This window comes from Homo sapiens, chromosome 1 (genome assembly GCF_000001405.40).
Source record: "Homo sapiens chromosome 1, GRCh38.p14 Primary Assembly".
Lineage (NCBI taxonomy): Eukaryota > Metazoa > Chordata > Mammalia > Primates > Hominidae > Homo > Homo sapiens.
Genome location: NC_000001.11, coordinates 241,837,258 through 241,855,599, shown reverse-complemented (window position 1 = coordinate 241,855,599; position 18,342 = coordinate 241,837,258). Strand labels below are relative to the sequence as shown.

Here is an 18,342-nt window from a genome sequence, read left to right as displayed (position 1 = left end):
ACCCAAGGGCTGAGGAGTGCGGGCAGACGGCGCAGGACTGACAGGCAGCTTCACCTGCAGCCCCGTGCGGGATCCACTGGGTGAAGCCAGCTGGGCTCCTGAGTCTGGTGGGGCCTTGGAGAATCTTTACGTCTAGCTCAGGGATTGTAAATACACCAATCGGCACTCTGTATCTAGCTCAAGGTTTGTAAACACACCAATCAGCACCCTGTGTCTAGCTCAGGGTTTGTGAATGCACCAATAGACACTCTGTATCTAGCTGCTCTGGTGGGGCCTTGGAGAACCTTTGTGTAGACACTGTATCTAACTAATCTGATGGGGACAGTGGAGAATCTTTGTGTCCAGCTCAGGGATTGTAAACGCACCAATCAGCACCCTGTCAAAACAGACCACTCGGTTCTACCAATCAGCAGGATGTGGGTGGGGCCAGATAAGAGAATAAAAGCTGGCTGCCCCAGCCAGCAGTGGCAACCCACTTAGGTCCCCTTCCACACCATGGAAGCTTTGTTCTTTCGCTCTTTGCAATACATCTTGCTACTGCTCACTCTTTGGGTCCACGCTGCTTTTATGAGCTGTAACACTCACCGCAAAGGTCTGCAGCTTCACTCCTAAAGCCAGCAAGACCGCGAGCCCCCAGGGAGGAACGAACAACTCCAGACGCGCTGCCTTAAGAGCTGTAACACTCACCGCAAAGGTCTGCAGCTTCACTTCTGAGCCAGCGAGACCATGAACCCACCAGAAGGAAGAAACTCCGAACACATCCTAACATCAGAAGGAATAAACTCCAGACACGCCACCTTAAGAGCTGTAACACTCACCGCGAGGGTCTGCGGCTTCATTCTTGAAGTCAGTGAGGCCAAGAACCCACCAATTCTGGACACACTTTTACACCACTATTTGTGTCCAATCAGGGTTTCTCCTCTACTTCCGCACACAATGCAGCCTCTCTTCTCCTGACTACACAGAGCACACATTTCTTTATACTTCACGCTCTGTCCTGCATCGCATCGTTTCCTTCTAGCTTGACCCATACAGAAAAGAGCCAGAGACTCAAATGACAAAGCCAAAATCAGAAGTGTAGCGCCTATTTTAGCTCAGGAACTGGATGACAGAACTGTAAGCTAGAAAAAGCTGACTTCACCTTTACCATCATACCTTTAACAGGCCAGGTACGGTGGCTCACACCTGTAATCCGAGCACTTTGGGAGGCCAAGGTGGGCAGATCACCTGAGATTGGGAGTTCGAGCCCAGCGTGACCAATATGGAGAAACCCCATCTCTACTAAAAATACAAAAGTAGCCGGGCGTGGTGGCACATGCCTGTAATCCCAGCTACTTGGGAGGCTGAGGCAGGAGAATCGCTTTAACCCGGGAGGCAGAGGTTGCAGTGAGCCCACATCGTGCCATTGCACTCCAGCCTGGGCAACAAGAGTGAAACTCCGCCTCAAAACAAACAAACGAACAAAAAAACCACAACACCTTAACCAAGCAGGCTCTAAAAAGGGGAAAGTGAGGGCTGGGAATGTGGGCACCTTGACACTAAGATTTACAGGAATAAGGAAAGAAGCTGCTGCAAGGAGGAGGTGAAAGGGAACAGAAGTCTGTAGGGTGCCTGGGGCAACGAAGCTACATCACAGATCTGTCATTCAAGAGTGCCGGTTACAGTAAGTGTTGAAGACTGTAGGAGAGTTGGGTGAGACCGATGCCTCCAGGAATTTGTTCCTTCCATCTCTTCATTTTTTTAAGTTTTAATAGAGACAGGGTCTCATTATGTTACCCGGGATGGTCTCAAATTCCTGAGCTCAAATGACCCTCCTGCCTCAGCGTCCCAAACTGCTGGGATTACTGGTGTGAGCCACCGTGCCTGGCCCTGTTCCTTCCATTGCTATGGAATAACATGACTTAAAAGAGAGAGCCTTACTTATGCCTTAGGATTTCTCCTTGGAAATTGCTGAAGTCTTCTCTATCTAGTGATGCTGTTCCCTTCTCCTTCTGACATCTGCCCTTTACTTGAGGTTAGGCCTAGAACAATTTTCCACCCTTGATTTTCTTCCTCTCCCATCAATAAACAAGTTGTAACTAGCTTTGGTGAACTTGCCCATCTGCCCCTTTGTCTTACTTTAATTACTTTGTGGGCCATGGCATGTGTGATATTGATAGACCGGGTGAAACACTCTCGAGCTTCCGAGACTTTCCCCTCACGAAGAAGTTGCTTTCCCTTAAGAAGATTGGCTTGTCGTCTTCTGCAAGGGAAGAACATTTTTTAAATATAAAACATTTAAGAGGCTGACTCAAGAAACTGTAACAGAACTGTAATTCAAGAAGCTTTCCTAGAACTGAAAAAAGTTTTTGACTCATTAGAAAGTACACACCAGGCCCTTGAGAACATTAACCCAGATGCTTTAGGCTTCTAAGGCAAAAAGAACAAGTGACTTAGAATGATTATATGCACACACACACACACAAGATTACCATTAGGCTTTTCCACAGCAATTCTTTTTGTCAAAGAAAATGTAGTAACGAAGATACTTTTAAACAAAAGTGATAATGTAGCAGATACATAACATTTAAGGAAATCTGTTCACATACTAGGCTATAAAATAAGCCTCAACAAATTAAAATTTTATTTATTAATTTTTTTTTAGGCCAGGCACAGTGGCTCATGCCTGTAATTCCAGCACTTTAGGAGGCTGAGGCGGGCAGATCACTTGAGGCCAGGAGTTTGAGACCAGCCTGGCCAACAGGGCAAAACCCCATCTCTACTAAAAACACAAAAATTAGCCGGGTGTGGTGGCACGTGCCTGTAGTCCCAGCTACTCGGGAGGCTGAGGCACAAGAATTGCTTGAATCCGGGAGGTGGAGTTTCCAGCGAGCCAAGATTATACCACTGCACTCTAGACTGGGCGACAGAGTGAGACTGTCAAAAAATAAAGATAAAATTGTTAGTGACGGGGTCTCACTATGTTGCCCAGGCTGGAGTACAGTGGCTCTTCACAGCGATGATCATAGGGTACTAAGGTGCTGAACTCCTGGGCTCAAGTGATCCTCTTGCCTCAACCTCCCGAGTACCTAGGACAACAGGTGCAAGCCACTGAGCCTGGCTTAAAATTTTAAAAATTGGTATCATATAGACTACAGTGTCTGACCTTAGTGCAATGAAGTTAGAGATTAAGTAGAGAATTAACTTACTCTCTTCTAGATCTCTCTACTTCCTTTTTAGAAGGTAAAGTACATCCATCAAATACGAGAATAGGCTTGATCCCATGAGATAGTAACATATTTACAAATTTCATACAAAATCCTACATACCTATGGAAAAAAAGAAAAACATTCAGTGCTTCACCTTTCTTAAGGTAATACTTCTGCTCTATTTTAGGCCAGATGAGAAAACTATGGAAAGAGAAGGTTTTTTATTTTGTTATTTTAAGCAGATGTTTTCATAGGAATTGGAACTCTAACTTACTAGACTTGGATTCAAATCCTGCCTTGGATACTTACGAGCCATGTGATGTCTGGTGAACTACTTGACCCTCCAAGCCTTGGTTTCCTTATCTGTGAATTAAAGAGCTTTGATATCCCTTCTAATTCTGACATCTTTGGTTTCAAATCTGGTCTTTCCCCCCCATTTTATGTTAAAAAATTTCAAATCTATTGAAAAGTTGAAAGAATAGTACAATAAACACTGGATTCTTCCAACGACACCATATCACAGCTAAGTAATTTAATAGTAACATAATATTATCTAATACTCAGTTTATATTATAATTGGTACACTTGTCTCAACAATGTTTCTTATATTCAGTGGTGTCCTGGTAAATGTTTAACAACCAGTTCTGCGGGAAGAGGTGCCTGATTTCCCTGAGATAAATATTTCTCAATGGCAGATGAGCTACCTACTTGAACTCAAATGAATGCTGAGCTGAGAAGACATGGTGTATAAAGAGCTCATATGAATTGGCTCCAGGACACCACTGCTACTATTTTTTCCAAATCCAGGATCCAATCAAGGGTCAGGTATTACATTAGGTATTGTGACAAAAACAACTGCATTTACAACTTCTATCATTTTATAAAGAAAAGGACATTTTAGCTCAAAAACAGGAATGGGAAAACAATCTTTAATCTTTTTGCATAACGCAAACTTAGCAGCTAAAATAAAGAAAAAAAAGATGACCTTTTAAATATGTCATCTTGATGAAAGACTCACTACATTGTTATCCTTATTTTTTCTATGTGTTGTAGATCAGTGACAGTGAACTTGCATTGGTATGGAACAATGATTGGGACCTGCTGATCATAAAGCAAAATTCAGGAGAAAGCAAATATGAAATTATAATGAATTTTACAACACATTTGTTTTTTTGCTAACCAGGATTAGCAGTATGTTTTCTGTACCCAAGAATGTGGGAGTCAGAAATCATCACGGATTTTCAAAGCATTTGTTAAAAAATTTATCTTAGGTTAAGAATTGGGCCAGGCATGGTGGCTCACGCCTGTAATCTCAGCACTTTGGGAGGCCAAAGCAGGCGGATCACTTGAGGAGTTTGAGACCTGCCTGGCCAACATGGTGAAACCCTGTCTCTAATAAATATACAAAAATTAGCCGGGTATGGTGGTGTGCACCTGTAATCCCAGCTACTTGGGAGGCTGAGACAGGAGAATTGCTTGAACCTGGGAGGCGGAGGTTGCAGTGAGCCAAGATTGTGCCACTGCACTCCAGCCTGAGCTAGAGATTCCATCTAAAAAAAAAAAAAAAAAAAAAAAGAATAAAGGAGATATTAATAGTCTTTGTCCATCAGTGTCTTGATACTCTGGCTTATTATAAAGAAAGAAAACTAGGCCTATTATCACAGAAGGAAGTCATCCCTGATTTGGGAATATTCTAAAACATACAACTTTTACTTCCTGATAAGTTCTGGCATTGAGTGAAAACAATCCGTTTCTGGGGGAGAAAAAAAGGCACTGTAGGTCTCATTCTTAATTGTCAAAGAATTAACATAAGGTCCAGACTTACCTATCAGTAGGTTCACCTTTGGCTAGTTTTTCAGCACAAGCAATAGCTCCTTTGTGAAGCCAGCAATATGTATCCACAGCTACTACCTGCCCTTTATACTTCCTCACATGGATGGGTTCTGAAGCTTCTTTGATAAATTGTAGCAATCCCTGTATCCCCATGGTGCCAAATTAACTACCTGATATGAAAAGAGACAGGGAGAACAGTAATATTTAAAGAAAAATACATTTATTAAAACATCTTAGACAAATGAAGAGAAAGCTTGGAGTCCAATGCAGAAATTGGTTTGTTGTTTTTTTTTTTTTTTGAGACGGAGTCTCGCTCTTTCGCCCAGGAGGGACTGCAGTGGCCTATATCGGCTCACTGCAAGCTCCGCCTCCCGGGTTCACGCCATTCTCCTGCCTCAGCCTTCCCAGTAGCTGGGACTACAGGCGCCCGCCACCGCGCCCGGCTAATTTTTTGTATTTTTAGTAGAGACGGGGTTTCACCATGTTAGCCAGGATGGTCTCGATCTCCTGAACTCGTGATCCGCCCGCCTCGGCCTCCCAAAGTGCTGGGATTACAGGCGTGAGCCACCGCGCCCGGCCAGAAATTGTTCAGATATTCAAGAATCACTGCTCTTTAATATTTTAGCTGGGCTCCTCCCTATCAAACAATTTCCATAGGGTAGAATTTACATTAATCACTAATACTACCTCTAATGCCACTTGACTGTTGCTTATTGTTTGTTTAGTCTTTCCAAAGTGCTTTTGCACTTTCACTCCTGACACATGCTTCAAGGAGCCAGGCACAAACAAAACCATGCATGCGATGGCATCGCATTGCCTCTACAAAGGGCATTAATCATAAGGGTCAACGTGCAAATTCAAATAGGAGTAGAAACTCAAAACAGTTTGTAGGAAGGTAAGTATTTCAATTAAAAAACAAAGGAAAAATTCAAAAAGAATTACAGAAATGATCCTGTACTTTTTTAGGACTGAAATTCACTGCTATTAGAACGCATTATTCTAAGCACGAACATTCTGGTAATAAACAGTGGTGGCGCCCAGGGGCAACTCCATCAGCCTCTCTGAAAGCTACCCTAAAGAACTGTGAAACTGCGTCTGCTATGCAAATACAGCTTCAAGACAAATGCTTTAACTTTCCACCCCCTTCCATTCCGGTTGCAGCCCCCTAAGCCCTTTCTATACAGAGATTCTGGAACTGTCACAACCCTTTCTGATGAAACGACCTCCCCCCACTCTACAATAAAAAGTCAGTAATGGGCACTGAGCAGTTGCTTAGCATTTCATAATACAAATCTCTCCTATCAAACGTTAAGTTTGGAAGGAAAGGAAGAAAGAAAGTACAGGATCAGGAGGCAGCTTTACCCTGTTGACACCTTATCAGAGCTCTAAAGGCTCTGGTCCAGCAGTTCTCAAATTTCAGAGGTTCTTAGACTCTCAACTCCACTCAGTGACTGGGATTCACTAGTTCTGCTGTGAATGAATTTTAAACAAAGCAGTTAATCTGGATGCAGGTGGTCCTCAAGCCACAGTTTCAGAAAAACAGTCTCTTACCTCTCAGATGATATCTAAAAAGAGTTTTCTCTCACTCCGAGGAAAACGGATATAATAGTTCATGAAATTTACATAAGTTTCTTCTGGGCCAGGCAAATATCCTCGAATAATTATTTCTTCTTTAGCGTAGTAAGAATGGCTGAGTGCGATAGTAAGAATGACTGTGTACATATCTCAGAGGTCGCATGTGGCACTCGAGGTAACAATAACAGCACCATCTTCACTTTATCCCTCTGTCTCGCGGAGATGTGCAGGCGTGGCCCCCAAGCCCATTCCAGACGACACGTTTCCTTAGGCCTGCAAAATATTATGGGAAAATGTACTTGTCAACATTTAAAGGTGGAGAGATTGCATGTAAAACCTGGACTGCCAGCTTCTGCGGAAAAATGAGGTAAGTCTGGCAACCCTGGCGCCTGCTCCAGCCCGGAATCGTCTGCTCTCTTATCTCCCTCCGTTCACTGAACTGCAGACCTCTGGTTGCCAGACGTCCCCTCGGAACAAAACACATACTCCACTCAGGCTAAGGGCTCCGCTGTTGGGTTGGGAAGATCACGCCAGACCCTCTCCTTCCCTTCCTGGAAGACCCGAATCCCGAGAGGAGGGTCGGAGGTGACGCGCAGGTCGACCCCCAAGGGAACCCACCCATTAGCCTCCGCACAGCCCGCTCCTCTCACCTTCCGAGAAGGGACTCTCCTCCTCCCCTTGAGCGGAGCCGATTGCGGTTGGAGAAACCCGCTCCGACGCCCCTAACTCACTGTGGCCAGAGCACCCACGGCCGGCAACGCAGAACACGGGTAACTTGCCTACACAGCGCGCGAAAGGCTGACCTTTCAATTTGCGCGGGTTCCTTGCGGCCCCGCCCAGAGGATGTGACGTCAACGCGTATCCCGCAACCCGGTTCCGCCTCCTGCGGCTTCCAACTCATAGGGTTGCGTCCTGAGCTCTCCGTCTCGCTGGGTAGACAGCGGCTCACTGCCATACGACTGCAGCCGCTGCTGCCGGCCCGAACTCCGTGCGGCTTCTTGAGGGCGCGAGTGGCACTGGCGCTGATGGCCGATGGTGAGCACCGCCTCGGAAGTTGGGAGTGTTTACACCCGCCGGGGCTGCTGGGCGTTGTAGTTCCCTCCTGGCTGCAGCCCCAGTTCTGGAGGCTGATGTTGAAAGAGCGCCGTCGCGCGTTGATGTTGAGGCTTTTCAAACCTGAAAAAGTTGCTCAGTCCCCCTCGGCGTCATCAGTCCCATCCTAATTCCTTCATTCTCTTTAAAACGCCCGGTTGCCTCTACAAATCGAAATTGAATTCAGTTCACGCTGGGTTCTTTTCCCCATTGCAGTAGTAGTAGTGATTAAAATCTGCCCCTACCATTTTACCTAGAACCCAGCTTCGTTTATTTTTGACATAAGTCGGGGAAAAATTAGCTATATAACAAGACCTTGAAAATGGGCCTTAGAGACAAAGACTTTAGAGGCATTTTGGACTTTCATGGTCACTTGTGGCTAGGTTTCCAATCCTCATAACACCCCAGACCTCGTCGCTGTCCTCTTAGGGATATTGTAATTTAAAAAATTGGAAGAAACCTTAGGCCAGACCACAAAGTAATGTTCTGGGCTCAAAGATCAATAGGAATGATAATGCAGACTCAATTCAAGGAATTGAAGGGGAAGAAGTGAGCACATTGTTAAACATGCTCCCCATTTGATTACGTTCTTTACATCTTTTCCTCTTTTAAAGTCTTTTTATGATCACTCTAACATCTATCATGCCAATTTTAAAGGCATCTATGATGCCTTAAATTTGTTACTAAAATTGTTGAAAAGGTGCCACATTTGGGGAATGTGTTTGGAAAAGCTGTGTTGCTTTCTCCCTGGTTCTGGTCTTTAGAGCTGGGACTAGGAGAGATGAGAAAAGTTATCTTCCCTCCCTCTTCCAAAGGCTATGGTAGACCTAACCCTAAACTAGCTTGGAGTGGACTCTTGGAGAAAGTGGGGGACAATTTCAAACTGCAGTAGATTAAAGAGGAACTTCGATGTGGGCAGCATGTGTTTGTAGAGAAGCCTTCTTACACTCATTGGACTATCCAGCTGTAGTAACTGCTTCAGTACCTAGAATCCAACCATGAATATATCACACATGGGGGTCTTAGGAAGGAACCCCAAAATCAAAAAGGTGTCCATTCCAGTGTCACTGGATCTGTCATAAAACTAACATGAGAGTTTGCTGCACTGTGAACGGCTCATGTATTTACTGTGAATTTGACTCCCAAGGTTTCAAACTGTATTCTTGGCTGCAGTGTTCAAAGACTAAAATTGGAAAAGAAAACACTAGTTACAATACATTTCACTAACAGAATATTTTTACTCTTTGGGAGGACAAAACCATTTGCATCAATGTGTGCAGTAATTTACTACTGCCTTAAGTGTGCCTGTCAGTTCCAGGTGGCATGGAGGCATAAAGAGATGTCCTGTGTCTTCAAGGAACTTAAGATCTAGTTCTGTAGACAAAACACATGTTTATGAGACAGTTAAGTCACAAATCATGATGGCATGTTATTAAATGCTGAAATAAATGGTATATCCCATATGTTTCCAGCTTAAGACTCAGTTCCAATGTTACCAGTTTCCAAATGTCTTCCCTAAGTTAGATATTTGTTTGATATGCACAAGCATTCTGTGATGGCTCTTTGGTCCTGACACTTCTCATATTCTCATTGTGTTTGAATTGTCTTTGCCCTTCAATAGACTGAAAACCTTTTGAGGTAGGGTTGCCAGATTTAGCAAATAATAACGTAGGACACCCAGAAATTTGAATTTCAGATGAACAACAGATAAATTTTTAATATATCTAATGCAATATTTGAGACATATACTAAAAGAAATCCCTGTTTATCTGAAATTTAAATTTATCTTGGCATTCTGTAATTTTATCTGGCAACCTTACTTTGAGGGCAGGGATTATGTCTATGAATTTTCACATCCCAGTAGCACTAGTGTTGATTTTAAACATTTCAAATGTGTGGACTAATACATGAATGTCCTAGGTATGGCACTATTATTATGGGTTTTCTGGGCTGCTCTTATCTTTATTTTTTTATTTTTTATTTTTATTTTTATTTTTTTTTAAGACAGAGTTTCGCTCCTGTTGCCCAGGCTGGAGTGCAATGGTGCGATCTCGGCTCACTGCAACCTCTGCCTCCTGGGTTCAAGCGATTCTCCTGCCTCAGCCTCCCAAGTAGCTGGGATTACAGGCATGCGCCACCACGCCTGGCTAATTTTGTATTTTAAGTAGAGACGGGGTTTCTCCATGTTGGTCAGGCTGGTCTCGAACTCCCAACCTCAGGTGATCCGCCCGCCTCAGCCTCCCAGAGTGCTGGGATTACAGGCGTGAGCCACCGTGCCCGGCCAGCTCTTATCTTTAAATACTGTATCTTGTTGAAATATCAGGTTGCCTGATTTTTAATTTGGAAGATACTGTCTCCATTGTTATAGGGCAGTGTTTTCTACAGTGTGGAACTTAGCCAATGACTTGGGGCCTAGTGAGAGTTGTGGGTGCCCTCTAGATGGCCTCCTGCCTTTGCCTGGTTTCAGGCAGGGTTGCTAGAACCACAGCTGAGCAGCACCTTCCCCACCACACACACACATGCACACACACACACACACACACACACACACACACACTGATGCATACACCAGTAATTTCTAAGAAGAGACATAGGAGTGGGGGTTCTTTTTAGTCAGCAGCATTAGGAAGCTTTTTCTAAAGCTCAACTTCCCTCCAAATCAGAGACATGGGAACAAGGGACAACCTCAAGTGTTGGGCAAGTCAGCATCGTCTTGTCACCTCATATGGGACTAGGTTTTTATTTTGCTCCTCTGTTAAAATGAATGTGGATAGGTGTTCAAAACAGTATGTATGCAGTGTAAAGGTGAAGATGAAGGAATTGTGCACAGTGCTGGTGACTATTACATATATATGGAACAGAATATCCTTTTTCTTCTGACTGATCATCAACGGCTCTGGTTTTCTGTTTAAGTAACTTATTTTTAGGCGCTCATTTTTGCAGCTCAATTTGATTGATTTTGATTGCATTCAATTATTTTTACATTTTTAAATTATTTTAATCGAATGACTTTGTGTCCATTGTATTTTTACGGTTATTTCTATTATGGCAAGTGACACAGTGTTAACATGAAACTTGCTTTTTAAGTAAATTTAAGTTGAAAATCGATTAAGTAAACAATAGAACAGGTGTTTTGCAGCAATGGTAAATATGAGTAAGTGAGCTTTCCGTAACAGTCATTTCTTCCATCTTTAAAATAACCCTTCAGTATTCCCCTCATTTCTCTGCTCCTGTTATCGTAAAACTTTTTGAAAAAAAAAATCCTGTACTTCCTGTCTCAAATTCCTCCATTTACTATTATAAATAGTAATATTGTATTACTATTACATTATATTATATATGTAAAACATACATACAGAAAGCATAAATCCTAAGCAAATTATCACAAAATGAACATATATTGCTTCTACTTGGTCCCTCCCAGAAGACACTTCGTAGCTCGTTTCCAATCAGATATCTCTGTCCTAACTACTAATCTGCCTTTTTACTGCAAGTGTTGCCTCGTTTGTGAAATGTATATAAAAGAAATGATGCAGTTTTTATCCTTTAGCATTTGGCCTCTTTTACTCAACATCATGTTTGTGAGATTCATCTGTATTATCGAGAGCACCTATAGTTTGTTTTTTGTTTGTATTTCAATGTAGAATTCCATTATGTAAGTACATTATAATTTATTCATTCCACTATTGATAGATATCTGAGTGGTTTCAAGATTCTATTACTACTGCTTCTGTGAACATTCTTGTAACTTCATGTGCATGTGACTTCAACTCCCACTCTTCTTGCTCTTGCCCACTCTACTTTAGCCATCTAGCCTCCGTGCCATTCTTTGAATATGCCAGGTACACTCCCACCTCTAGGGCTTTGCATACGCTGTTCCTTCTTCCCAGAATGCTCTTCCAACAGATAGCCCCGTAGCTTGGTCCTTTACTTCGCTCAGTAATACACATAGGTTTCTTCTCAGTGAGATATTCTCCAATTATGCTATTTAAAATTGCAATTCCTAGCCCTACTTTGGGATACCTAATTTTCCTTTCCCTGATTTATTTTTCTCCATGATACATACAATTGGACAAATTACATATTCTAGTTATCTATTTGTTAATTGAGCATCTCTCACCTCACTATAATGAAAGCTCTATAAGAGCAGGGATTTTTACCTATCTCCTATAACATTGTCTGGCACATAGTAAACTCCAGTAAACTTCTGGTTGAATAGACAAATGAATATTGAAATTAGCTAACAGCCTGGATCTAAAAGAGACACTGATGTTTTTAGAACTTAGATGTTTGGGCAATATAGCTGTTTTCAAAGCTGTTTTACAGTGAAATTAAACAACTCCAAAGTTATCAGGATGAGTATTATTTGAATAATCTAGGACAGAGAATGCAGAAAGAGTAAATGCTGTCCTCATTCCCTACTGCAGAGGGAAAACGATTTTAAATAGCCTCTGTTTTTGTCCTTCACCAAAAAAAAAAAAAACTATGAAATGCATTTTTGCAGAATGACACTTCTAAAAAATATTATCTCTGGCTCCAAAATATACATTTTAGGGAAACTGGCATAGGTCTTTGGCAAAGCTTTCTTGGAGGTGATTGATATATTAGCATCGACAGTACCTATCTATCTAAATAATAAGTGTTACTATTAGAGTCTTGAATTATAATACTTAGGGAACAATTAGTATTTTTCAGGTTAGTTGTATATATTTACATCCTTAATTTGTTTACCACTCCTAACGATGCTATGAGGATGGCACATTTGTTATCCCCATTTTACAAGTGCGACAGCTGAAGTACAAAGGGATTTGAACCCTGTGTAGTTTGGCTGTGGAATCTGCTTTTAACTTACCTTTGGATAGCTAGCATATGTATTTATCTGTGGAGAGATAGATATTATGTTAACATTTTCAGAGTTACCAATTGACTAAATCCCCTTTGGATGATTTGGGAAAAAGAAAGAAAAGGAACAACTTTTTTTATAATCTACCATGTTTTGCATGTGCTACCTCATGTAATCCTCGTAATAGCTCTGGAAGATAACTATTGCTACCCTCATTTACAGAAGAAAAAAGCGGAAGCAGAGAGAAGCAGGTAATAGTGTCATAGACCTAAAGCTGTTATGTGATGTGATTCAAGCTAGTATCTGTCTGACTCCAAATGGCTATATTCTTCACTATGACACATAGTGGGAAGAATGTACCCAGTGAATAGCAAAGATCCAGAGAGGAGGAGGAATACATAGTTCCAGCTGGTAGCAGGCTGTCATGGAGTTGTGGAATCAAAAAGACAATAGGCACAATCCTGAGAATGTTTGGATCCAAAGATACATTTTTCTGACCTTGGCCTTCAAAGCTACTCCCAGGTGAGCTCAAGGTGAATGAGTGGGAGAGGGCCTCTGCAATCACAGCCAGGCTAACTCTTCATTCTTGTATGAGATCTTTAATAAGTCATACATCCTGGGCCCAGTGGTTCAGACTGAGGAAGCTTCTCTTCTTACCGTTGGAGCAGCACTTGCTTCTCTCATGATTTTCAGTGTTACCACGACTTTCTCATGGCCCAAGTGAATTTGCTTATCTCCATGCTTCAACTTTTTGCTTATCTCCATGCTTCAACTTTTTGCTTTTGTTTTTTTAAAAAAATTAAAAATACAAAAAGTTCAGAGAATGCTACCCACTTTCTTGGTGAACTTGGGACTTAGTCATAGGAGTGAAATGGATATTGCTCTTTTGACTTTAATGACAAAGTGTGACTTGCAATGGGATATCAGAATAATAGTTCCAAAGTGGTAAGCTGCTGAAGGACACCCACTCACTAGGTAGCAAAAAGGGACATTTCTATTGAAAACTCAGTGAAATATAACCTGGAACAATGAAATAGACATCAATACATCAACACAGTGAGAATTACAGCCAGCAACAGAATGCTTAGTGAGGAGAAATACAAGATGGAGAGGCTCAGCTAAACAAAGGCGTCACATTGATTATAAAGCTAAGAGTGGTCCTTGTATGGTAAGTGCCAGATTCCGCATGAAGCAGCTGGTCTCAGAATAAAAGAGTAATGAATTTCTGTCCACTTATTGGTCTTTCAGCCTCCAGGGGACTTACTCAGCCAGCAGTTCTATTTTCAGAAGCAGAGGATAAACACATGCTTTAATTCCGTCATTTAAAATCTAATAAGTATTTTTAACAAACATCTGTGGCCAGTTTTTCCATTGGTCTTTTGTATATCTATATATACATCTATCAGTATATCTCCATAGATAGCTTCCATTATCCCTTTTATACCAGCTCAGTTAAGAGCTTAATGTCTAGCCTACCTTGCTTGAATTCAAATCTGGGCTGTGTAATGTATTAGCTGTTAATTTGCTGACTTTAGAAAAAGTTCCCCATCTCTTTATTTGATTGGGGTGACCGCGGAGCATAATGTAACCTCTGAAATGACTTAAACCAAGACTGCACTAGTCTAAGTGAGCCATTGCACATTGACCCAATAATTTGATCAACAGAATAAAATGAAAATAAATAAATAATTTTCCATTTTCCTTATTTGAAAACTGGGAGGAACAATAGAGCTAATTGAACTGCTTCATAAGATCGTGAAGATTACATGAGATAATCCATTTAAATTGTATAGAGTCTAGTGTCTGGACTGCGACACTCAACAGTGAAGTGAGAAAAAGCCCCCAAAACGTAGTCATGGACACGATGTATAGTTTGTCAAGAGCTTTCACATGCATTTCCATTTGGTCTTCAGAAGACGAGGCCTGGATCATTCAGTGGCTCACCTAATATCACAGAACAAGTGGTGGAGTCAGAATCTTTTATCTAAAGGAGATATTTTCATCCTTAGATTAATGTCCTCTTCACAGTCTCATGCTACTTTCCTTTAAAATGAAATTGCTGTTCTTTTTTTAATTGATTTGGCCAACTTCATTTGTAACGGAAGAATCAAAATTAGAGCCCGGGTCTCATCCTACGGTATCTCGTCCTGAACCTCTGGTCTCCCTCAAGAATGACTCAGAAGGAACGGAACTGATTAAATTAAAATTTTGCTCATGCATATTATCATTCATTTCTGAAAACTTGCTGGGATTTTAAAGAACTTTTAGTTACCTAAGGAAAGGAAATTAAATTTTACTGAGCAGAAGTCTTGGTGGTAAATGACAGAAACCCACCTCAACTTGGTTTTTGTATGAAGGGAATGCATTCCTTCTGTTACAGGTTCTATAACGACCCCAATACCTCAGAATGTGACCTTATTTGGAGATAGGGTCTTTGCAGAGGTAATCAAGTTAAAATAAGGTCATTACTGGAGGGTTGGGGGTGAGGAGCTAATCCAATTTGACTGATGTTTTTATGAGAAGGAAAAATTTGGGCAAAGATACACATGGAGGGAAGCTGTGAAATAACGTAGGGAGAAGACAACCATTTACAAGCCAGGGAGAGAAGCGTTGAACAGATCCTTTCCTCACAGCCCTCGGGAGAAACAAACCCTGCACCTTGACCTGGGACTTCTAGCCTCCAGAACTGTGAAGCAATACATTCCAGTTGTTTAAGCCAATCAGTTTATGGTTGTTACAGCAGCCCTAACAAACAAATACACTCTCTTGTTCCTGGAAAGTGCGGGAATAACTCAAGAATTTAGGCTCAGATGGACTTGAGGGATCAAACAATATCATTAGGACTGGCGTCTCTTCATCTCTTTTTCTTCTGTGCTGGTTTTACCATATCTCGTCAATTTTAAAATGCATGTTTTTCTTTTTCACATGTCTGAAATCAAAATGCAATGTACAATTTCTTATTACATTTCTTTATCGTTAGAAGTGTAGAAAATAATGGTATATCTTGTAATTAATGGCATCTTAGGAAACCTTAGAGTGTTCACAGGCAGGCTATTTATGTGGGCAAATTTGCAGCTCAAAGCTTAATATCTAAGTTACCCTATGACTCCAGAGAACCTTTTCCCAGTTGTTTCAGGAGAAGGCCCTGAGCAAATGTTCACCGGCTGTAATTGACCTGGCTTTGCACATACTCAACCCTGGAAAACAGGGCTGGGGAAGGGGCAGGTAGACTTCAGCACACTGAAACCACATGGCATAAGAATAGCAAAAAGGGGATTTCCCAAAAGAAAACAAAGTGCTTTTACCAGGAGAGGAAGGGCTGAATGCCCAGAAGACCTGTGTCGCCACAAGTACCTGCCTGTGCCAAGGGCTGCCACAGGACTCTTGCTTGATTCTCATTATAACTCTGTGAAGCAGGAGGTATTGTCAGATCCACTTCACTCATCAGGAAACTGAGGCTTGAAGAGCCACAGGCCTATAGGCAGAGCTGAATATTGCCAAATGGTTACAGAGTGCTTACAATGTGCAAGACACCCCCTAAGATCTACAGATACAAGGATGAACGTTGTCCTTTTGCCCGAGGAGCTCAGCTTAGAGGGGAGATAGACCCGAAGCACCAAACAGCTTACTATGAAATAAAAGGGTATCACAACAGAAATGGGAACATAGTACTATGAAAACAATTAAATCTGCTTCGGCAGGAAGGGAGACCCAGTATGGAAGCGGGCATTGGAAAAGGCTTTTTTCACACCCCAAAAACACCTTTCTTACACTTGTGGCAAATTCCAACATCAGAGCACTGGGAAACGGTGATCTTGTTAAACCTTGCAAAGGGCCCGCTTCATGGAAAGTGTTTATTAGACAGTTATAGAGTGAGTGATCACAAGGATGAAGTAGGTCTTACTCGACAAAACTGAATGTCACTGGACGTGATCTTGCTTTACAGGTCCTGGGCCTCCAGCTTTGTGGGCAGTCATGACATCCAAGGGTGCCATTTTGCGCCAGAGTTTTTGCTCCACATTTGCAAACAGAGGGACTCATAGCTCTAAAGTTCCCACTGTCTTTTCCTCTGAACTTTGAGCAACATTCTTCTGCTTTTTTGAGCTGTTTCATTATGAATCATCTCCCTATATTAATAAAAATTTGTTTTCTAAACATTTGTTTCATTTAGCTTTCAAAAAATCTTACCAGGTTGTAATAGAGCTCACTTTTACTCTGCTTTGTGTTCATAAACTAAAAAATATATAATTTTATGAAATATATAGGTTTTCATAAATCTTTGTGTCTCAGTCTATAATAAAGTGATATGTATTTTTAATTTCTATTCTATTGTTTTTTTTTCTTTTTTAAAATGAAACTAGAAGCAAATCTCATTTATTCTACTATTTTTTATGATCAAGTTTTATCACAAGACTAGGATGGGTAGCTGACTTGTTCTCACACTGGTGCCCTCTAGTCTTCCTTGCTGTTCCCTCCCCTACTTTCTGGAATCTCCCTTTTCCATCTAAGAGATGCTCAGTGTTCTTTTATTTTTTTTTTAAGTGAAAAATTCAAAGAGATGGGGTACTGGCTATGTTGACCAGGCTAGTATCGAACTCCTGGCCTCAAGTGATCCTCCCATCTCAGCCTCCCAAAATGCTGGGATTACAGACCTGAGCCACCATGTCTGGCCTCCACTACTGTTTTATGAGTACCTTTATGATGTCCAGTATCCTTGTTGGTAGGACCTTTGTCCACTACTACTGCTGATAAATCCAATTACTCTTCCAAAATGAAAATTTGAGCTCATTAACTATCAAGAGTTGTTTAGGAGATGTATTTCTTTTCTACACACACCACCTACAGCTGGTCTCTCTAGGCTGAGATATTTCTGCTCACTGGAGACCAGATCATCAGCTACAGAGGCTTGGGTCAAGAAATGTCTTAGTCACAGTGAACCCGCTGCATTCCACTGTGTATCTGTCTCCCTTAGGCATAAACTTAGGTTTTCCACGTCAAAATTCCTGTAAGGCAGTGTGAAATTCCGTAAATCCTTTTTGGCAAAAGCATTTCTGGGCTTGCGTAACTCAGATATAAGTCCCTTAATCTCATTGCCATTTTATCTTTATAAGCCAATCTTCAGTAACTCTGCAACTATTATAATGACTTTTTCAAACCTTCAGGTAACCTTCAGGTATGTGTAACTCATACTGGTGAAATGCTGCTATACAGCTTTCTAGAAATGATCAGAACTACTTAGAAATCTTGTTTTGGGTAGAAATTGTAGTTATATATAAAGCACCTTTATTCTTGAAAAGGGCACTGGCTCTATTCATCAAAAAATCCTCAGTTTAGGTGACCTTTTGAGAGTGAACGTGAGCAGAACGCAGACCATCTATGGCTTAGGTTTTCCTGGCACATTGCAGCCCCATTGAAAGATCTCGCTGTAGCAGTGGGAGTCCTCATGGACCACGGGTCCTGCCCACCTTTCTTTTTCTCCTGTGTATTTTTTGAAGGTCTGGCTCCTACTGATGCTAGGAATTACTTTGTCATCCTTAGGTAGTATTTTTGCTTAGACTAAAGGTCATGTCCTTCTTTCTCGAATTACCCACTTACTGCAAATTAAGATGCCTCCATGCCTCCTAAATCAATGTGTATCTTCTAATTATAATAGAAACACATTTTTTTGATAGTGACCACAGGAAAATACAGAAATGTATCAAGAAGAAAACAAAAATCTCCAGTAATCCTACTGTTATATCCAGAAATCACTACTATTAACATCTTCTGTATTTCCTGGCACTGTTTTTAATGCCTGTGTGTGTACGCATA

The 18,342-nt window shown here is 41.5% G+C and overlaps 1 protein-coding gene across 21 annotated transcripts in view, besides 1 other annotated feature; it reads right to left on the bottom strand.

Annotated features, from left to right (window-relative positions):
• The window catches only part of EXO1 (exonuclease 1), a 41,954-nt gene extending 34,340 nt beyond the window's left edge, over nt 1–7,614 (bottom strand). For 2 of the 21 annotated variants that reach the window (XM_047434104.1, XM_047434112.1), the window contains exons 1-6: nt 7,400–7,614; nt 6,573–6,869; nt 6,384–6,491; nt 5,014–5,191; nt 3,189–3,308; nt 2,119–2,242 (exon numbers count right to left, since the gene is read on the bottom strand). In XM_047434104.1, coding sequence (XP_047290060.1) covers nt 2,119–2,242; nt 3,189–3,308; nt 5,014–5,174 — 405 coding nt within the window. In that variant the 5' untranslated portion in view covers nt 5,175–5,191; nt 6,384–6,491; nt 6,573–6,869; nt 7,400–7,614. The other 19 variants (XM_006711840.3, XM_011544323.3, NM_130398.4 and 16 more) reach the window with 10 other exon arrangements.
• Nucleotides 7,361–7,700: an enhancer, noted in NCBI's record as "active region_2829". NCBI's record gives its function as "activates an Ori minimal core promoter by ATAC-STARR-seq in GM12878 lymphoblastoid cells {active_cell/tissue: GM12878}" and the evidence as "EXISTENCE:reporter gene assay evidence [ECO:0000049][PMID:35858748]".